This window comes from Homo sapiens, chromosome 1 (assembly GCF_000001405.40).
Source record: "Homo sapiens chromosome 1, GRCh38.p14 Primary Assembly".
Taxonomy (NCBI): Eukaryota; Metazoa; Chordata; class Mammalia; order Primates; family Hominidae; genus Homo; species Homo sapiens.
The window spans coordinates 225,978,991-226,001,036 of NC_000001.11; the positions used below are offsets into that span (position 1 = coordinate 225,978,991).

General features: G+C 42.2%; 1 protein-coding gene across 1 annotated transcript, besides 7 other annotated features; it reads right to left on the minus strand.

Annotated features, from left to right (window-relative positions):
- Positions 1-3,711: 3,711 nt before the first annotated feature.
- Positions 3,712-20,353, minus strand: SDE2 (spliceosome associated SDE2). Its single transcript, NM_152608.4, has 7 exons — positions 20,203-20,353; positions 16,276-16,393; positions 13,901-14,012; positions 13,408-13,577; positions 12,253-12,373; positions 8,906-9,398; positions 3,712-6,533 (listed from the first exon to the last, which is right to left on the minus strand). Exons 1-7 carry the CDS (start codon positions 20,320-20,322, stop codon positions 6,312-6,314), a joined length of 1,356 nt encoding a protein of 451 aa, NP_689821.3. The 5' UTR covers positions 20,323-20,353; the 3' UTR covers positions 3,712-6,311.
- Positions 18,035-18,084: an enhancer, noted in NCBI's record as "active region_2638". NCBI's record gives its function as "activates an Ori minimal core promoter by ATAC-STARR-seq in GM12878 lymphoblastoid cells {active_cell/tissue: GM12878}" and the evidence as "EXISTENCE:reporter gene assay evidence [ECO:0000049][PMID:35858748]".
- Positions 18,105-18,194: an enhancer, noted in NCBI's record as "active region_2639". NCBI's record gives its function as "activates an Ori minimal core promoter by ATAC-STARR-seq in GM12878 lymphoblastoid cells {active_cell/tissue: GM12878}" and the evidence as "EXISTENCE:reporter gene assay evidence [ECO:0000049][PMID:35858748]".
- Positions 20,208-20,317: an enhancer, noted in NCBI's record as "active region_2640". NCBI's record gives its function as "activates an Ori minimal core promoter by ATAC-STARR-seq in GM12878 lymphoblastoid cells {active_cell/tissue: GM12878}" and the evidence as "EXISTENCE:reporter gene assay evidence [ECO:0000049][PMID:35858748]".
- Positions 20,378-20,657: a silencer, noted in NCBI's record as "silent region_1868". NCBI's record gives its function as "represses an Ori minimal core promoter by ATAC-STARR-seq in GM12878 lymphoblastoid cells {active_cell/tissue: GM12878}" and the evidence as "EXISTENCE:reporter gene assay evidence [ECO:0000049][PMID:35858748]".
- Positions 20,838-20,987: an enhancer, noted in NCBI's record as "active region_2641". NCBI's record gives its function as "activates an Ori minimal core promoter by ATAC-STARR-seq in GM12878 lymphoblastoid cells {active_cell/tissue: GM12878}" and the evidence as "EXISTENCE:reporter gene assay evidence [ECO:0000049][PMID:35858748]".
- Positions 21,008-21,107: an enhancer, noted in NCBI's record as "active region_2642". NCBI's record gives its function as "activates an Ori minimal core promoter by ATAC-STARR-seq in GM12878 lymphoblastoid cells {active_cell/tissue: GM12878}" and the evidence as "EXISTENCE:reporter gene assay evidence [ECO:0000049][PMID:35858748]".
- Positions 21,188-21,237: an enhancer, noted in NCBI's record as "active region_2643". NCBI's record gives its function as "activates an Ori minimal core promoter by ATAC-STARR-seq in GM12878 lymphoblastoid cells {active_cell/tissue: GM12878}" and the evidence as "EXISTENCE:reporter gene assay evidence [ECO:0000049][PMID:35858748]".

Consider the following 22,046-nt stretch of genomic DNA (forward strand, 5'->3'; position numbering starts at 1 on the left):
TTGCTAAAATTAATTTCACCTGCTTCTTTGTAATTTTTTTTTTTTTTTTTTTTTTTTTTTTTTGAGATGAGGTCTCACTCTGTCGCCCAGGCTGGAGTTGCAGTGACGCCTTCAAAGTTCACTGTATCATTGGCCGGGCGTGGTGGCTCATGCCTATAATCCCAGCACTCTGGGAGGCTGAGGCATGCAGATCACCTGAGGTCAGGAGTTCAATACCAGCCTGGCCAACATGGTGAAACTCTATCTCTACAAAAAAAATACAAAAATTAGCTGGGCGTTGTGGCACGTGCCTGTAAGTCCAGTTACTCAGGAGGCTGAGGCAGGAGAATCACTTGAACTCGAGAGGCGGAGGTTGCAGTGAGCCAAGATCATGCCACTGCACTCCAGCCTGGGCAGCAGAGTGAGATTCCATCTCAAAAAAAAAAAAAAAAAAATTTCACTGCAGCCTCCAACTCCTGGACTCAAGCAATCCTCCCACCTCAGCCTCCCAAGTAGCTGGAACTATAGGCACGCACAACCACACCTGGCTAATTCTTTGTACTTTTTAATGACTGAAAGAAAATGTAAAATTACATTATCTGGCTCATGTTACATTTCTATTGGACAATGGTGCTGTAGAGTATTCCAATAGCTTCCATTTACTGAGCAACTACAAATTTGCTAAGCACTGTGCTAGGAACCTTACATACTACTTTATTTAACCCTAACATCCCTAAAAGTAGATATGACCCCATTTAATAGCAGGAGCAGAAAACTGATGCTCAGAAAGGCTATGGAGCTTGTCTGAGGAAACACTATTAGAAAGGAGGAAAATCAGGATTTTAGACCCAGATCAGTAACCCTAAAACCCTTGCCCTAAGGCCCACCACACCACATGGCCTGTATTCCAGGGAAAACCGAAGTATGACCATGCACATTCTTTCCTTCAGCTCAGCAGTATTATGTGGGGGCCATCCTGAATCAATGACCTATGAATGGTTTGAGTGTAGGCTTACTTTATAGAGCATCATTAATTTAGTTTTTCTCAAAGGAAATCTCATGAAGGTGAATGCAAAGAAAAAGTAGTACCAAACATACCAGAGATGAGACTGGCACTGACTGAATCAGAGATCCCTCCCAGAAACAGGCCAATAGGCAGGTGACTTGCAGCAACAGTGTGGGTGGCACAGGGCCACCTGGAGTCCATAATATCTTTTCCTGTATTCTAGTTCAGGCACACAAATAAGGCCATAAAGTTTAAGTCAACATTTTTAAGATTTTGATCAGAACCAGCCTAGAATTAACACCTGGTGTTCCTAGACTTTCTCGGGGGGGGGTACTTTTCACCTTGAAAATCACTAACAGGTGCTGGCTCAAGATGGTAATCTGAGCATATTTGTTTAATTCCCTCTTGCAAACTCCCATTTGAACTGACAAAAGGAATATAATGAGGAAGCTTGCGGTACGAGTACTAGAAGAGGAAGGAGGAAGGTAGCTATCTCCAAAACAAAATGTGTGGGTGAGTGAAATGGACCCACAGCAAAAGCCCATTAACATCCCCACGCACAGATCAGCGAGGGCTGGAAGAACTACAGCCACCTAGGAAGAGAGGCTAGATGGTCAGTTTCTGCTCATCAGCAGCCTCCTTACTTTTAGCCTTTAATGCTACAAGAGAGGGGGCAATTAGAAAACTCTATAGTCTTTTCATTTTGCCAGTCAAGGTCTATTTGCCTGCAGGGAGCAGGGCAACAGCTGCTCACACTCCCATGCTAAATAAAGCAGGGCCCAGCTAGTGCTCTGGCAACCTGAAGAGGATAACCAGGCCAATTAGGAAAGGGGCACTGGCCCAGCCAGCTTCATGCTGCCACAAAAGAAAGAAATTCTTTGGGCATGGCTGCCTGAGTCTCTCAAAGATGAACCCTGATCTTGTAAAGTAAACCTTCACTATGCTGGGCGCGGTGGCTCAGGCCTGTAATCCCTGCACTTTAGGAGGCCAAGGTGGGCGGATCCCCAGGTCAGGAAATCGAGACCATCCTGACTAATACAGTGAAACCCCGTCTCTACTAAAAATACAAAAAAATTAGCCGGGTGTGGTGGCACGTGCCTGTAGTCCCAGCTACTTGGGAGGCTGAGGCAGGATAATGGCGTGAACCCGGGAGGTGGAACTTGCAGTGAGCCAAGATGGCGCCACTGCACTCCAGCCTGGGCGACAGAGCAAGACTCCATCTAAAAATAAAATAAAATAAAAAAATTTTAAAAAGTAAACCTTCACTAAATCTAAATGTTTCCCTTCTCCCTTTGGGTGTGCTTTTTAAGATCTGAACAGGCACCCACATAATTTGAAGAAAACTGTTTCCAACTACCCAAGCTAGAAAAATAATCCTCCCTAAGCAACAGAACATACTGTGGCAGCCACGAAAATACGCCTCTCAGATCTCCTGCTGTGGGGAGCATCACTCAGTGATGCTCTGGGGCCACCGGGTTCACACTCAGGCCACACTTTCTGGGGACTCTTTATAGCCAACGTGCACAGTACAGGTACTAAGGCAGGCCCATTCTGGCAAGATGCCAACTCCTCCAAAAGGCAACTTTGGCTTGAAGACTCTCCATCAACTTAGCTATATTACAGAAATCATCTGAAGAACAGAGAGAAGCGTTTGGTGGAAAAAAAAAAAAAAAAAGACAGAGACTCGGAGACTGAGACCGAAGCTTAGTATATTTATAACTGAAGTCCCAGGAAAGAGAAAACATGGGTCAGGAAAAAGATCTGAGGAAATAATGGCTGACACTTTCCTATATTTGATTAAATGGCATAAATTTAGAGAGCCAAGAAATTCATCAAACTCCCAAGATAAATACATAGAAAACCACACCTGAAAGCTGCCAAAGAGAAAGACGCATTCTATAAAGGGAAAAACTATTTGAATACCCACTGATTTGTCATCAGAAACAATGAAGGCCAGAAGACAGTGGAACAAGATCTGTAAAGAGATTCTTTTTATTTTTTGAGACAGGGTCTCACTCTGTCACCCAGGCTGGGGTGCAGTGGCATGATCTTGGCTCATTGCAACCTCCGCCTCCTGGGTTCAAGCAATTCTCATGCCTAAGCCTCTCAAGTAGCTGGGATTACAGGCACGCACTGCCACACCTGGCTCATTTTTTTGTATTTTTAGTAGAGACAGCATTTCATCATGAAGGCCAGACTGGTCTTGAACTCCTGACCTCAAATGATCTGCCCGCCTCAGCCTCCCAAAGTGCTGGGATTACAGGCCTGAGCCACTGCACCTAGCGAAGAGATTCTTTTTAAAAAAGAGAAAACTGGCCAGGCACGGTGGTAATCCCAGCACTTTGGGAGGCCGAGGTGGGTGGTTCACAAGGTCAGGAGTTGAGACCAGCCTGACCAACATGGAGAAACCCCATCTCTACTAAAAATACAAAATGAGCCAGGTGTGGTGGCACATGTCTGTAATCCCAGTTACTTGGGAGGCTGAGGTAGGAGAATTGCTTGAACCCAGGAGATGGTGGATGCAGTGAGCCGAGATTGTGTCATTGCACTCCAGCCTGGGCAATGAGAGCGAAACTCCATCTCAAAAAAAAAAAAAAAAAGGGAAAAAGAAAAAGAAAACTAATTTGTTGCCAGGAGACACAAAAAATGCTATAGAAAGTTCTTCCGTCTTAAGGGAAAGGCTATTAGATCTTTAAGAAGAAATGAAGAATATTAGAAATGGTAAATATGTGAATAAATACAAAAGATTTTATTTTTTCCTCTTAATTTCTTTAAAATACATATCATTATTTAAAGCAGAAATTGTAACTTATGACAGGACTTACAATATTTAAATATGTAGATTTAATATGTATGACAACTACAGCATAAAAGACAGGTATGATAAATGGATGTACATACTTACAAGATTTCTACATTTTATGTGAAGTGGCACATCAACTCTAGGTAGACTGAAAAATTAAGAATGTATATTGTAATCACTAGAACATCCAACTTAAAAAAATTATTAAAACAGTATAGCTAAAGAGCCAATAAATTAAAATACAATTATAAAATAATCTTATCTAAACAGGAAACATGTAAATTAGAAACCTATTAATAATTACATTTAATGTTAAACTTATTAAAAGATACAGAGAGAACAGATAAAAATGCAAGTCTCAAGTATATGTTGTTTAAAGAAACTACTTTAAATAGGCACAGAAGCACAAAGTAAATTAATAGAAAGAGGTATACTGTGCAAACACTAAGCTTAAGAAGGCTGCAGTGGCTATATTCACATAAGATAAAGTAGATTTCAAACCCAAATTACCAGAGACAGAGGGAAATTTCATAATGATAAAATGGTCAATACATTAGGAAGACATAAGTTATTAGAGCTTCATACAAAAACTGGTAGAATTTAAGAAATAGACAATTCCACAATCATAATTGAAGATTTTAACATCCTTTCTCAGCACCTGATAGAAATAAACAAAAGGATCAGTAAAGACATAGAAGATCTGAACAATACTATCAACCACTTAATCTCATCGATATTACAAAACATATTAACCCAACAATTCAAATTACATATTGTTTTTCTTAGAGACATGGTCTCACTATACATTGCCCAGGCTGGTCTCGAAATGATCCTCCCACCTCAGCCTCTCAAATTACAGATTACAGCTGTAATCTCAGCATGTAATCTCATGCTGGATTACAGGCATGAGCCACCACACCTGGCCTAAAATACGCATTCTTTTAAACTGTGTATGGTACACTCACCATGACAGACAACATATTGGGTCATAAAACGAGTCTCAATAAAACTAAGAGGATTGAAATCATAAAGAGGATATTTTCTGACCTCAATGGAATTAAAGTAGAAATCAGCAACAAGAAGATATTAAGAGGAAAAAAAACAAATGTTTGCTGATCAGACAACCCACTTCTGATAATCCATGGGTCAAAGAAGAACTGAGGGAGGAAATTAGAAAATAATCAGAGGCTGGGCATGGTGGCTCACACCTGTAATCCCAGCACTTTGGGAGGCCAAAGTGGGTGGATCACCTGAGGTCAGGAGTTCGAGACCAGCCTGGCCAATGTGGTGAAACCCCATCTCTACTAAAAATACAAAAATCAGCCAGGTATGGTGGCTGGAGCCTGTAATCCCAGCTACTGAGGAGGCTGAGGCAGGAGAATCGCTTGAACCCAGGAGGCAGAGGTTGCAGTGAGCTGAGATCGTACCATTGCACTCTAGCCTGGGCAACAAAAGCGAAATTCCATCTCAAAAAGAAAAAAAAAAGAAAATTAGAACTGAATAATAAAAATACGACATAATAAAATTGTAAAGTCGCAACTAAAGTAATGCTTAAAAGAAAATGTATAGCTTTAAATATGTATTTTAAATAACGTCTAAGATCAATGACCTAAGGCTTATCTTAAGGAACTAAAGAAAAAAGATCAAAGGAGACTCAAGCTAAATAGAAGAAAGAAAATAACAGAAATTAATTATATAAACAATTGAGAAAAATAAAACCAAAGGTTGGTTCTTTAAAAGTTATATCGTCGGCCAGGCACGGTGGCTCACGCCTGTAATCCCAGCACTCTGGGAGGCTGAGGCGGGTGGACCACGAGGTAAAGAGATCGAGACCATCCTGGCTAACACAGTGAAACCCAGTCTCCACTAAAAATATAAAAAATTAGCCGGGCGTGGTGGTGGGAGCCTGTAGTCCCAGCTACTGGGGAGGCTGAGGCAGGAGAATGGCATGAACCCGGAAGGCAGAGCTTGCAGTAAGCCGAGATCGCGCCACTGCACTCCAGCCTGGGAGACAGTGTAAGACTGTCTCAAAAAAAATAAAATAAAATAAAAAGTCAGATCAGTAAAACTGATAAACCCCTACCCAACCTGATTAGGAAAGTGAGAACAGAAATTACCAGTATCATAATGAAAAGGAAATTATCAACACAGCTCCTAAAGACATTAAAAGGGTAAGAAGGGACCATTATAAATAACCTTATGTCTACAAATTTGATAACCTGGGTCAAAAGGATAGATTTCTTGGATAGATTCATTACCTAAATGACACCAAGATCAAACCAAAAAATGTGAATAGCCCTATATTTATTAAATACACTATAGAAAACCAGACAAAGAAAATTTAAGGCCCAGATGGTTTCAGACATTAATTCTACAGCCCTGACAAGGAAAAAGGGGATAGTTAGAATTGGGTTACTAAAAAGTTAGCTTTTAATATCAACAGGAATACTGGTCAAGAGTCCACATTATGCAGGTTGTAAATGGTAGACACTATAAACAAATAGGAATCAGCTCTGATGATACTCATTTTTTCTTCCCTTTCAAAGGCTTGGCAAATAAAGCCGGGTCAATTTGCTCCTTTGCCAGTCCTCTGACAGAGAAGAGTCTTGCTGCCCGCTCCTGCAGAGTGCCCCCACATTTCAGTCCAAGGGCCATCAGTTCACATTTGAGCTTCTCCAAACCCAGCAACTCCAGTTCTGCAACAGAGGTGAACGCCAATAAATCTATAGTTTCCTTATCAATAACCTGAGGGAAAAAAATAAGAAAATATTTAAAACAGGCTCCTTCCTCTGAATAAAGACTCTTTAACTGTCAACTACATTTCTTGAGAAATTTTCATTTAATTTGCCATACCTTGCAACTGAATTTTAATCATCATCCATCCACATGTTATTCCATAAGTATTCTCAACACACATAATAACTAATTTTTCATCTATACATTTAGAAACAAGCATTCAGAACAGTAACAGAAGTATAGCATTCCCAAACAGATTTTTAATATTGCTTTCTTTTCCGATTTTTCTAGTAAACATCTAAACAGTAAAATATAGCCAGCCTATCCCCACACTATTCCCACAGAAAGAGCAGGCACTCCTAAAAGCTTAATGAGAATCCCATGCCTCTGAATCTACTAATTCCATAATCTTAATGCTTTCTATTCTAATTGAGTAATTAAAACTAATTGTCAGACCTCTCCCTTATATAACTCAACAAACTCAAATGCTGTTCAATAGACTTGCAACTGTTCTACCCACCAAGTGCCTTTATAGACTTTAAGACAAAATTAGCCTGTAATCCCAGCCCTTTGGGAGGTGGAGGCAGGCGGAACACTTGAGATTAGGAGTCCGAAACCAGCTTGGTCAACATGGTGAAACCCCGTCTCTACTAAAAATACAAAAATTAGCCGGGTGTGGTGGTGCGTGCCTGTAGTCTCAGCGTGCCTGTAGTCTCAGCTACTTGGGAGACTGAGGCAGGAGAATCACTTGAACCTGGGAGGTAGAGCAGAAATCACACCACTGCACTCCAGCCTGAGCAACAGAGTGAGACTCTGTCATTAAAAAAAAAAAAAAGACAAAATTAAATACTGCTAATGATACCTTGAAAAGAATGAAAATGTCTATCTTTGAGTGATTTTTTATATTCAAAGAATAACTTTCACAGTTTTAAAATATTAAAGAGCTCTGGAGACATACTCTATCTTTCTAGTTGATCTTTGTTTTCTTAAAAAAGCTGTTTTGTTAGATTTCTGGGAGTTAACCTTGGCTTATTTATGACCAAATTCTAAAATGCCACTTATGTGTGTTTAAAGAATCACACTTGGTTGTTAGGAATACAACAGCTATTACTACAACATCAAGAACAAAACTCCATGGCTAACACTGAAAAATATCAGGTTTTATCCTATGATTCCTTTTTTATTTTTCTAAGACTTCAGTCAGGATAAAGCTCTTACCTGTATACACATAACACAAAAATTACATGCTTACAAATTCAGAGATTGTAAGGACCTTAGCATAAAAAAATTCCAATAGTCTCACCAGAAAGGGCAATTTATGCATTTTTACTTACTTACTGGGGGCAGGGGAAGGTGCTGGCTAAACAAATGGTAGGTTTTGTGTTTATCGAAGGAAATTAAGTAGTTTAGGTTTCACCTATTCTAAAAAGCAAACCATTAGATCAAAGCACAGAGATTTTTGCTGGAAGCCAGTCCATTGTAGATAGTGAAAAACCAACTTTTTGAGAGAATGTACTATGAAAATGCCTTTTTATTATTATTTTTTGAGATGGAGTCTCACTCTGTCGCCCAGGCTGGAGTACAGTGGTACAATCTCATCTCACTGCAACCTCCACCTCCCAGGGCACAAGCCATTCTCGTGGCTCAACCTCCTGAGTAGCTGGGATTACAGGCGTGCACCACCATGCCCGGCTAATTTTTGTTGTTGTTGTATTTTTAATAGAGACAGGGTTTCACCATGCTGGCCAGGCTGGTGTCAAGCTCCTGACCTCAGGTGATCTGCCCACCTCAGCTTCCCAAAGTGCTGGGATTACAGGCGTGAGCCACCGCACCTGGCTGAAGATGCCTTTTTTAAAAGGCTGACTGTGGGTACTTAAGATTTAATGATAAATTTAAAAGGAGGTTCCTCTTCTATAGAAGAGGTCTTCACATTCAGCTGAAACTATTGTTCAAGCTATCCTCACATTAGAAAAAGCTGAGTAGCAATTTAGTGACGGGAAAAATGAGCACATTTCATCAAATCTAAAATGCCATCTATCATAATATACCCTCATTCATGTATTACTAAGAATAAACAATACCAATTAAGTTATAATATGTTATACACATCTCATTTTAGACATGCTAAAATGTGGAAAACATGCATCTTACAATTGATGCAATATGGAATCAAGGACACCACCTAGTGGCAACATAGTATAAATGCCAGAACTTAAAAAGTTTTTGGGGAATAAGGCAAGCTTCACCATAATCTGTACTTCTTAAAATCAAATAAGCCTTTCACTAAGCAGCTGAGGGGCAAAAGCACATTTTCATTTTAATGACTTATTGTGGAGATTAAACTGATTTGGCTCTAGGTATCAACCCCAAAACATACTTACTGCGTTTCCTGGCTGGCTTTCCTGCAGTTTGGCAACGGCAACGTTTTCCCTTTCTTCAGGTGCTACCTCAGCAACTCTTTCCCCATCAGTCCTTTCTTCTGTCTCTTTATCCTTATTCAGTCCAGCCCCAGTGGGCTCCTCTTCTATGGGTTCTTTACTCTCTGCCTTCTTCTCCTGGGTCTCTTCTGTTTCTGTAACCATCCTGCTTTCCATGTGCTCTTTGGACTCCCCCAGCTCAGCACATGAGTCTTCTAAAATATGCCTCCCAGAGTCAGTCACCGGGATCTGCAGTTGTTCTGGTGATCCATGGTCTGTATTCACTACTCTCGCCCTCTGAGAACCACTGGGAAATTTGGCTGCCATCTCGACACCATTGCTACCAATTTTTGGAGCATGGAAACCCATTCCTGAAGTGCTTGGTGCTTCTTCACTGTCATCATCTGAACTCTCAGAGTTGGACCCTTCTGCAGTCTCTAGTCCCTCCATGCCCAACCTGTCAGAAGCAACAGAAAGGTTTAACAGCGTTTGTAGCTTCTATTTAAAGCAAAGAGTTGGCTGGGCGCAGTGGCTCAGGCCTGTAATCCCAGGACTTTGGGAGGCCAAGGCAGGCAGATCACGAAGTCAGTAGTTTGAGATCAGCCTGGCCAACACAGTGAAACCCCATCTCTACTAAAAATACAAAAATTAGCCAGATGTGGTGGCATGCACCTATAGTCCCAGCTACTCAGGAGGCTGAGGCAGGAGAATCACCTGAACCTGGGGGGCAGAGGTTGCGGTGAGACGAGATCGCGCCATTGTACTCCAGCCTGGGTGACAGAGTGAGACTCCGTCTCAAAAATAAATAAATAAAGCAAAGAGTTATAGTTTGTTCAGGAAACAGAATCTGTTTCTGCTAGCTTGAGATGGAGAACAGGCAAATTTCGGAAAAAGATATTCTAGAGCTTATAAACAGAAGGAAAAAACATTTCAATGAGACTGGGACCAACTGTCCCAAAGATCCAAGAGGATCTCCTTTCTAAAGTCCTGAATCTCTAAAAGCAAAATTGATTTTGCTTAAAGCTTTCTTCCCCCGCATTACATTACCTTCGACGGTTGGAAATTAGATAAAATAATAAATAGTTGGCCGGGCGTGGTGGCTCATGCCTGTAATCCCAGCACATTGGGAGGCCGAGGTGGGTGGATCACAAGGTCAGGAGTTCAAGATCAGCCTGGCCAATATGGTGAAATCCCGTCTCTACTAAAAATACAAAAATTAGCCAGGCCTGGTGGCAGGTGCCTGTAGTCCCTGCTACTCGAGAGGCTGAGGCAGGAGAATCACTTGAACCAGGAGGCAGAGGTTACAGTAAGCCATCATCGCACCACTGCACTCCAGCCTGGGGGACAGAGCAAGACTGTCTCAAAAAAAAAAAAAAAATAATAATAATAATAATAAATAGTTATAAAGAAAATCCATCCGGGCATGGTGGCTAACGCCTGTAATCCCAGCACTTTGGGAGGTTGAGGTGGGTGGATCACTTGAGGTTAGGAGTTCAAGACTAGCCTGGCCAACATGGTGAAACACCATCTCTACTAAAAATACAAAAATTAGCCGGGTGTGGTGGCACATGGCTGTAGTTCCAACTACTGGGGAGGCTGAGGCAGGAGAATTGCTTGAATCTGGGAGGCAGAGGTTGCAGTAAGCCGAGATTGTGCCATTGCACTCCAGCTTGGGCGACAGAGCAAGATTCTGTCTCAAAAAAAAAAAAAAAAGAAGGAAAATTATTCGGTGCCGCCCCTTGATTTGATTGGTGAAAAAATATATAAAGAAAATCCTAGGAACAATTATTCTGTTTTACAGAGGTGTTTCCCAATAATAAATATTAATACACACACACACACATTTATAAATCCTATGCTTGGGCTGGACGCGGTGGCTCACGCCTATAATCCCAGCACTTTGCGAGGCTGAGGCGCGAGGATCACCTGCTCAGGAGTTTGAGACCAGCCTAGGCAACATGGCAAAACCCTGTCTTCACAAAAAAATAAAAAAAATCAGCTGGGCATGGTGGTATGTACCCTAGCCCCAGCTACTCAGGAGGCTGAGATGGGAAGATAGCTTAAACCTGGGAGGTCAAGGCTTCAGTGAGCCGAGATCGCGCCACTGCACTCCAACCTCAGCAACAGAGTGAGGAACCTGTCTCAAAAAAAAAAAAAACACACACAAAAAAAACACCCATGCTTTATTAATAATTACTCAAACCCAGAAATTACCCAAATGTCTACCAAATGGAGACTGGATAAACAAACTGTGGTACATTCACACCATGAAACGATACGGAGTGATAAAAAAGAATGAACTACTGATACATACACTACCATGGATGAATCTCTAAAGCTTTATATTAAGTGAGAGAAGCCAGACACTAAAGGCTATATGACATCCTAGAAAAGACTAAATCATAGTAACAAATATCACACTGGTGACCAATGGTTGCCAGGGTCTAGAGGTGGGGAAAAGGGACTTAACTGCAAAAGGGCACGTGGGAACTATTTCAGGTCATTAAAATACACTCTATCTAGATTGTGGTGATGGTAACGTGACTATATAGTACATATACATTTTTCAAAAGTCGTAGAACCAATCAACCAAAAAGGGTGAATTTTGCTATATATAAATTATACCTCAATAAACCTCATTAAAAAAATACAAACCACAGGTAGTGTCACCACCCTTTCTCTCAGGAACACTTAATTCCCATTTCAGAAAGAACAAACATTGTATGCTGAACTCATAGTGTTATATGATCTTTGATTAATAATTATCTGTTTATCCCCAAAGGGGATAAACTTATTTTCAAGAACTTGGCCCAAGGGAAGTCACTGGCAACAAGAGGACCAACTAGAGGGACAAGAGAACTATCAGAAAAATGGACAAGAAAAAGTACTGCTGTGCTTTTTACCCTCAAGTGCGAAAGTGGTGAAGAGAAGTCTGGCAAAGTGACCAAAGACCTCAATGATGACTGTGAAAAACCACAGACAACCACCTGGAAAGTACAGCTTGATTTCCACCTAGAATTTCTAAAAGTTAAACCCCTTCAACACCAAAAAAGTAATTCAAATATAAAGCTATTTTTATGTTTCAGTGTAAGGAAAAAATTCATCCTTTACATTCAATTAATGGCATTCACAGCAGAAACCATTACCAGTACAATGTGACAATCACTGAAACCTAAAGCTTGAAGCACTCTGGAAATTTTCTGAGCTCCCACCAAACACTACACAAAAATGTGTTTATGCCAGATAAACAAGGAGGAAATGTCTCAAGTCAGTCCTCAAAGATCAATTGGGAACGAAAGTGAAACACTTACCAGAAGCATCTCCTCTTTCCCGCACTGGCTCCTCTGTCTGTTTGAGATTTAGTAGGCCATTGCCGTTTCCGATTCTCACTGATTTCTGCTGAAACCATCTTGCTGGAGGCAGCCTGCATACCTAACCAGAAATTTTAACAACTCAGTTTCTACTATAGGGACTAAGTTTAAAGAAATCATAAATAACATGGATTGCAAAAAGAGCTGCAATCTACAGCTCCAGATTTAAATTTCTTAAGATACCAACATTTTATACAGTTAATCTCAAATTTACACAGATTTAAAATGATAAACATTCTAGTCTAGGAGCAGATTTTTTAAAGCACCACTGCACAATTTGTAACCTTGAGACTGACAAGTTCATACCCAGCCCTCCCCAAACCTAATTATTTATCCCTGCGTTAGTTATTTGCATACACTTGTCTTTTTCCTGTTATGTCATAACCTTTTTGATGCAAAAAGATTGTTTCTTATTCGATTGTTCCCATACTAGGCCTGCCATGTTTTGGATGCTAAAAACAAAAGTTAATGAGAATCATTCACATTAAAAACTGACTTAAAACTGGCAGCAAATTCTTTGAGGTCTAGACATCTTCTGAAGACTTAGCTTATCCCTAAACACAAACAAAAAATTTTCTTACCTGGGGCCCATGGCCCCATGGAATTCAGGGGTTAAATATGCCAAATGTTGGCTGGGCTCATGCCTGTAATCCCAAGCACGAGGTTAGGAGTTTGAGACCAGCCTGGCCAACATGGTGAAACCCTGACTGTACTAAAAATATGAAAATTAGCCAGGCGTGGTGGCGTGTGCCTGTAATCCCAGCTACTCTGGAGGCTAAGGCGGGAGAATTGCTCGAACCCAGGAGGCAGACGTTGCAGTGAGCCGAGATCACACCACTGCACTCCAGCTCTGGGCAACAGACCAAGACTCCGTTTTGGGGGGAAAAAAAAAAGCCAAATGTTGTATATGTGTTCTTTTTTAAAAAAATACTGTGTTCATTTTTGAGGATAAAAGTGCCAAGGTTTTCATCAGATTCTCAGACATCTGTAACCTAAAAAAAGCTTAAGAACTGCTCTTTGTGCGTAGTGTAGAGCAGTCTGAACAGCTGGCTTCAGGGGTGCCAGCTGAACACACTAAGGAATCCTCATTCTCACCTTTGAGGACGGAATCCTCCAGACGCTCAGCCATCTCATGGCACTGCTGCTGGTAGTCGGGGCTGGTGAAGCAGTGCTTGGGTTCTACAAGCTTCCGCTGCAGTCGCTCCAGCCGCTTCTGCTCCTTTTCAGCCTCTCGCTCGGCTTGTTGTTTTACCCATTCAGCCATTCTGGGGATGAGGGAGGAAGAGATATAACTGAATAGATATATTACATATACACTTTTATATATAAAATGTCTCTGACGAATTAATGCACTTGTTCATACTGTGATATTCTCTTAGAAAGGTGAGCCATGCTTACTACTAGCATATGGTACTGAACTTAATCCCAAAGATGATTATTAAATTATGGAAAAGGTTAAATCTGATAATAAATTTGGATGTAAATATTTTAAGTTTCCATTTCCAATATGCGTGGCATATGTATAATCACTACTAATAGGAAAGTATATGTCTCTCCTCAAAAACACAAAAAAAGGTGGGCATCTTACGCTTTTTCATGATTGACATCGCGTAGTCTCCTTCCACTGAGATCCCGACAAGCTTCTCGATTGGTTGTCTTCTCAATCTGAGCACCAAGTGCTCGGAGCATAGATCCAAAACCTGAGCAGATGTATTTGGAGAAAGCAGGTTAAAATGTGTTCAAGGATGGATAAAAGCAGAATTTGTGAAAACAATCTGTATCACAAGATTAACAATGATCTCTACTTTCTTTCTTTTTTTTTTTTTTTAAGAAAAGATGAACATCAAGGTTCTAATTCAGGCAGCGAAAGTAAAAAGACTGATTTAACCTCATGCCTTTCACCTTTCATTTTATAGTTCTGAGATAAAATACCTAGCCTTCCCAAACCTAATTATTTATCCTTGTGTTAGTTATTTGCATACCGGTATAATACCTGTACAGCTAGAATATTTAAAAAGCTTTACCCAGGCCAGGTGCAGTGGCTCACGCCTGTAATCCCAGCACTTTGGGAGGCTGAGGCGGGCAGATCATGAGGTCAGGAGATCAAGACCATCCTGGCTAACACAGTGAAACCCCGTCTCTACTAAAAAATACAAAAAATTAGCCAGGCGTGGTGGCGGGCGCCTGTAGTCCCAGCTACTCAGGAGGCTGAGGCAGGAGAATGGCGTGAACCCAGGAGGCAGAGCTTGCAGTGAGCTGAGCTCGTGCCACTGCACTCCAGCCTGGGAAACAGAGCCAGGCTCTGTCTCAAAAAAAAAAAAAAGAAGCTTTACACAATCACAGAGATCCCAAGATTCTCAGATTAAGAACTTAAAAAGTATATAGTGAGATTTTTCAATGAGTTTAGAAGGAAAGGCAATTTTAAGCTCCACTGGCTGATATAACATGCTTCATTCATTCATTCTTTTTATCCCCCCTAAGAGATGGGGCCTTGCTCTGTCATCCAGGCTAGAGGGCAATGGCTTGATGTAATCAAAGCTCACTGCAGCCTTGAACTCCTGGGCTCAATGGATCCTCTTACCACAGCCTCCCAAGTTGCTAGGATTACAGGCGTGTACCGATGCAGCTAGCTATTTTTTTTTTTTTGTAGAGACCAAGGTCTCACCATCTTGCCCAGGCTAGTCTCAAACTCCTGGGTTCAAACTGTCCTCCCACCTTGGACTCTCAAAGTGTTGGGATTACAGGCATGAGCCACCATGCCTGGCCACATGCTTCATTCTTTTTTTTTTTTTTTGAGAGAGTCTCACTGTGTCGCCCAGGCTGTAGTGCAGTGGCACAATCTCGGCTCACTGCAGCCTCCACCTCCAAGGTTCAAGTGATTCTCCTGCCTCAGCCTCCCAAGTAGCTGAGATTACAGGCTCCTAACACCACACCTGGCTAATTTTTATATCTCTAGTAGAGACGGGGTTTTGCCATGTTGGCTAGCCTGGTCTCGAACTCCTGACCTAGGTGATCCGCCCGCCTTGGCCTCCCAAAGTGCTGGGATTACAGGCGTGAGCCACCGTGCCCAGCCCACGCTTCATTCTTAATCATACAATTTCAAACAGCTGGATATAGTCTGAGATGTCAGCTCTCTGAAAACCAAACCAAATCACTGTAGATTTTGAGAAAGCTTAGGGATCACATGTTACTACATTAGGAGAAATACCAACAACTGTTTATATTGTTTTCGCTCTTTGTTATCTTTCCTAGTAGTTGTGTTAAACAAACAAAACCTTAATCTGCCTCAACTTATAAACAATTGTGTTTCCTAAGGTAACTTTAGACTTCCTTTGGAACTACAAAAACGAGACAAAATCCTGATTAAAGCAGAAGGAGATTTAGAAAAAAAACTCTTTATTCAGCAAATTGAACAGAATAATGGCCATCTCTCTTCATCTAATTTTCCCCCAAAGTTTTAGAGCCTAGGTTCCCTAAGAGCTATCCAGCTGAACAAAGTGGGAATTGTATCACACAATATTTCTTCCTCGACCAAAATAAAAGACAGCCTGGGCAACATGGCGAAACCCCATCTCTACAAAAAATACAAAAATTAGCTGCGCATGGTGGCATGTGCCTATAGTCCCAGCTACTGGGGAAACTGAGGTGGGAGTATTGCTTGAGTTCAGGAGGTCAAAGCTGCAGTGAGCCGTGATCGTACCACTGTACTCCAGCCTGGGCGACAAAACAAGGCAGTGTCTCAAAAGAAAGAAAACAAAAGAATAAGAGAGAAAATGTCCAAAATCAGGTTAAGTAAATAAAAGAATTCATAAGGTAAAACAATATTGGCATACTAAAGAGACTAAGAAGGTTGTTAATTTAATACCATGGCTAAAGACAGCAAATGTCAGCAGCAGAATATGAAAATAAATGAATAAAGACTGCAAATGTGTTACAACTAAGTAGTCAATGTTCAGGTCCTACCTCCTTTTCCACCGCAAAGTCTGGGTTCCAAACTATAAACAGCTCCATGCTGCACTGTGTCACTGGTGTTAATGAGTGCTCCATTGCATTTCACAAAGAAGTTTTCCACTGGAACATTCTAGAGACAAATTTGTTTTTTTAATGCCTTTTATGAGATAATAATCTAAGTTTGTTACAAGAAGGGACCTAGCTGTCTTTTTATTACTCTGGTTACAACAGAGGGTGTTCAATTAATATTTGTTGAATTGAAAATGTAAACTACTAGGAGAAAAAGTCATTTCACATGATGCATTTTGGGTATAATTTTTTCCCAATATTACCTAATCATCACATATAGAAGAAACTTCAGTCTTTGCGGTGACAACAAAAACTGCTTCTTCTTCTCTGATAGGTAATCTGAGTCAAGGTAGAAGACTATGCAGGACTCAGATTAAATAACTGTGGAGGTCCCATTTTCTGACTTTCTTAAACAGGTAAAATTAAATTGAACATCAAAAGTAGTCCTCAATCCTAAAAAGTGCAGGTAGGAATAAGAAGTAGAGAAGGAAGGAGTCAAGAGTGTGGTTTTTAATACACCTATATAAGTACACCATAGGAGACATAAATACATGAAAAATGAGCAAAAATGAGCAAAGTTGCTGAAGATAGCCTAAGATGCTGGGCAGCCCCAGATTCTGTGTAGCTGCCCCAGAGCCTACATGAATCAATACTCTAAGCAGTCCTGTAACCCAGTAAAAGCCCACTCTGGACCAAGGAAATACAGAATTACCAAGCAGCACCAGGCTGGTGGATGTATGGAGACTGAGCTATGTGATTATAGTTCTCTATCACAGTCACTGCCCAGATGCCAGGGCAGAACAGGTGGAGAGATGGATTTATGCTGTCTGGGGTTCTCCCAGACAAATATAATGGCGGGAGAGAGGAGCAAGGGAGCTCAGGCTATCTGCAATGAGGTAACATGAACGACTATTCTTGTCTTTAAAATACTGTCTACCTCAAAGAGCTGTTGTAAACATTAAATGAGATATGTAATACATTTTGTATCTGTTTAATGTTTACACATTAGAAGCCTTTTGTATGTCTAATGGGTATGGTATTTCTAAATAATTTTAAAAGATATTAATATGAAGGCAGAAAGTATACACCATGAAAATGATGTATACTTCATTTCCAAACAGAATGGCTTATTAAACAAAACAACTGATCAACAAAATTGCATTTTCTACTTAAGATTCTTGTCAATGAAGTCACAAGCAGAAAAAAGGATACAACATTTAGACTCAATTTAACTGCTTTTAACCATTTGTGCATTGTAAAGTGCTTCAAACACAAATTATCATGTGTGTTTTAGCACAACCAGCCTAAGGCTATCAGAGATAAACCTGTCAAACTTACTGATTCACTGCAACGAGGGGAACTGCACACCAGGAGTCATGGGTATCTCACCAACCCAAAGAAAGGAGTGTCATTACAAGATTTGGGGCTAGGGTGGAGTTGAGGTGAAATTTACATCAAGCAGTGTTTAAAAAGGTTCAAAATAAAGCAGGACTGTATATAAAAACGTCAACATCAGATCTGGATTGTGAAGGCTCCTCTTTCCTTGGAAACTACAAATTTAAGATAAATGTGGAAAGTTGTGTCCAGAAACCCTTAATGGGAAGCTCTGACCTGGGTTGGAAATCAAGAATGCTTCTCTACAAGGCAAGAGTGGGAAGGTTCCCTCTTATTGAGAGAACTTTAAACAGCAAAATTTCTTATATATTCTATGGTTTTTGAGACCAAGGTTTCTCAGTGAATAAGAAAGCAGCAGACCTTCGTGGGGGTCGTTATGACATTATGACACATCACCATTTCCTGTTAACTCTGCAGCTGTACATCGGTGTAGTGTGGGGGAAACAAAAACAAAAAACAAAAACTTTGCAGCTGGCTTTATCTGTGTCTGTTATCCCAGCCTGATGAAAAGCAGGGCAGATTTTTATTTTCTCAGTGGGAGTTAACACTAACTTCATCATGTCTCAGAATAGTTTTGTTTTTAAAAACATAGGTGTGAACTTGAGCTATTCTTACTTGTTCCAGTATCTCAACTAATATTCTTTTGTGTTTCTATTCATATTTGCTATGGTCATGTTCCTTAAGTTTCTGACTGAATCCACTCATTTATATTTCTTTATATATACTTTTTCAGACCGAGTCTTGCTCTGTCACCCAGTTTGGAGTGCAATGGCTCAATCTCGGCTCACTGCAACCTCCACCTCTCAGGTTCAAATGATTCTTCTGCTTCAGCCTCCTGGGTAGCTGGGATTACAGGCGTCTGCCGCCACGCCTGGCTAATTTTTGTGTATTTTTAGGAGAGATGGGGTTTCACCATGTTGCCAAGCTGGTCTCGAACTTCTGACCTCAGGTGATCTGCCCGCCTCGACCTCCCTAAGTGTTGGAATTACAGGCGTGAGCCACCACGCCTGGCCTATATTTCTTGCTTCCGATTTAAAAATTCTTTTTTCCAACATACCTCATGATTAAGATCCTATTTTTTCTGGTTTCACTTTGGATCAATTGTCAGCAAGTTTGAAAACTGTACTCATAGGCCGGGAGGAGTGGCTCAAGCCTGTAATCCCAGCACTTTGTGAGGCTGAGGTGGGCGGATCACCCGAGGTCAGGAGTTCAAGACCTGGCCAACGTGGTGAAACCCCGTCTCTACTAAAAATACAAAAATTAGCCAGGCATGGTGGCGGGCGACTGCAATCCCAGCTATTTGGGAGGCTGAGGCAGGAGAACCGCTTGAACTCAGCGAGGCGGAGGTTGCAGTGGGCCGAGATCACGCCATTGCACTCCAGCCCGGGCAACGGGAGTCAAACTCCGTCGGGGGTGGGGGAGGGGGAGAAAAGAACACTGTACTCATGAAATAAGAATTATTTTCAAAGGAATTAGAATGCAATTATTTTCATGGTCAAAAACAGTTGTGCTTACAGTTTTTAGACTGGATTACAGAGCAGGAAGGAAAACATGGAAAGTGAAAAACCGTATTATTTGCAAACACACATTGCTTCTTCACGGAATCGATCCAAGTCTCTTAAAATTTTGGTCTAGACTGCAGTGTTAACATTTGTTAAGCTTATAAATAGTAAGCAGAGGAAATAGCCGAGGAAAGCACGGATGAGGTGCGGAAAGAACAGAGTTCTAGATCAAGTGCCAACATTAAAATTAGATTCAGGGAAACCACTAAATTCTTTTGACAACTGAACAGGTTTAATATCTTATAGCTGGTAAAAGCTTACTTACTTGAAAGTTCAGTAAAAGCTCACGTGTAACTCTGGAAGTCCCTGGTAGGTTTTCACAAATATGCACGGACAAATGAGACCATCAAATTAATAGTGAACACTTCTACGTAACAGGCCCTAAGAACCCAGGCCCTCAACAGGACACACGTGTGAATGCTTGGTCACAACGACTGACCAGAAGAATCAATTTTCCTTCCCAATCATCCTTTGGCCTGGGTTTGGATATGACATACTTCTCTAGGCTGGGGCTAACAAGGCTGTGTGATGAGTGGACAAAATACACGTCACATAACCATAGTAAGAAGGTGAAGACTGGAGCCTTAAAAATCAGCCGGCCCAACTGCCAGAAGACCATTATATTTACGGATAAAGAAAGAGAAACAAAGTATTTGTAACTGTGAGCGGGACTAAGTGCCTGTAACAGTTTTTTTCTCCCTCTTGGTGGGAAGGCAAAACCACCACCACAAAAGAAAAGCAAAGGAAGGTCTCAGTAACAATTCGAAGCACCTTAACACTGAGGAACTCTCAGCCTCAACGAGTGAAAACCCCAGAGAATAAACGTACCCCCGCCCCGGACAGACCTACTCCGCACCCAGCGCTGCCACCTGTCTGCCTCTTTCTCCTTCCTAACAGGAACCGAAATCCTCACCTGATCTTGGCAGTGCCGGTGGATAAAATCCCGGACGGTGCACCGACCCGAGGCACACCGCACCGCCTTGCACCCGAAGCCAGGGCCGCGAATCCACACCAGCGCCGCGGCCTCCGCCATGTCACCGACTACCCGAACCTCAAGCCTCTCTGAGACACCAGGCGCCGCAACTCGCCCGGCGCCTCTTGATGACGCGAGCATCTTCCAACGCCCCGCCCCTCACGCTTCCGTTCACCCCTCCCCTCCCCTGGGGCGGGTCAAGTGAGCCGGGCGGCGGGGCGGTGCGGGCTGGGGGAGGGGAACAGGAAAGGCCTGGCGGAGGCAGATAAGGCGGCAGAGCACGGGGCGAGGCGTTGCTAGGAGAAGTTGCTAGGGCGGGGCTCGAGGGACCGGCTATAAAAGGCTGGCGCTGGGTTAGGTTTCGAGCTTCCTGGCCGTAAGCGATAAGGCTTTAACTGAGAACCACCTTGTGCTGTAGGCTTTGGCCCTTTTCCTCACATCTGTGTAGTTATTTTTGGGTCGCGGAGAATTGTGGCCCGAGAAGGCTCTGCTCCTTGAGAGTGTGGGGAGAGAAGCTGCAGTCCCGGAAGCGGTTTTAGGGGGCCGCTTCCTTGGCCTAGAGGAGCTCCCCAACCCGAGGGGGCAAGGGAAACGACCCCCAGGAGGCCCCTAAACAGTGGCCGGCGTGGTTTCTCCTCCAGCTTTACAGAGCCTTCTCTTCCCCTCCAGAAACAGCCAACCTCCGGGTTTCTGCCTGCCACGCACGGTTTATTCTTATTTCCGCCTGTTTGTGCACTGCGTTATCTCCACTTCAGCTCTGTTTTCAAAATATTTCACAGCAAGTGGGCTCTTGTGAAAGGCAGTGACAGGAGTGACGTTTATAGTCATGCTGCTTCAAAAAACCCTACCATAACTTTTATTCTGCACCATGGAAACACACTCGGACAGATTTGCATAACGTAACCTTAAGGCTCAGGGAATCCGAAAGAGTCCCTTAATATTTAACAGAATGAGATTATGGTATTTCTAAAACCCTGAACAATTCAAAAGCCACCAGTGTGAAGATAGGAAGGTTATTTGGAGATATCTGTGCCTGCTAAACACAAATGCATCGGCCCACAGAATTGCCTTCTCTGCTGTTAAAATGCTTGGCAAATGGAACTCCTAGCTGAGGGGGTAACAACAAAAAATTCAGAAATCGTTTAGCGGTGGCAGTATGTGCGAAAATGGAATTTCAAGGCCTGGGAAGTTAATAGATTCAGTGGTCTTTATTTCACACACGAGGGAAAGTTGGGGAGAGAAAGGGCCTCCATGGGGATGCCAGTAGATAAATAAAAATTACAAAAAAAAAAATAATAAAGATAGATTGTACTGGCCGGGCGCGGTGGCTCATGCCTGTAATCCAGCACTTTGGGAGACTGAGGCGGGCGGATCTCGAGGTCAGGAGTTCGAAACCAGCCTCACCAACATGGTGAAACCCCATCTCTACTAAAAATACAATAATTAGCCGGGCGTGGTGGTGCGCGTCTGTAATCCCAGCTATTCAGGAGGCTGAGGCAGGAGAATCGCTTGAACCCGGGAGGCAGAGGTTGCAGTGAGCTGAGATCGTGCCATCGCACTCCAGCCTGGGCGACAGAGAGAGTCTCCGTTTCAGAAAAAAAAGATATATTGTACCTAGGAAGCAGTATTTCGGAAAGGTGGTGCCATGGCAACCCTGGGGCGTGAAGGTGTCGCCAGGTTACATGTAAGCCGTCCAAACTCCAGAAACCTCAAGTCCCTCTGCAGTCTGCTCCCCAGCTCTCTGTCCTCCAGGTTCCTGAAAAAGTAATCTACAGATCTGAGCC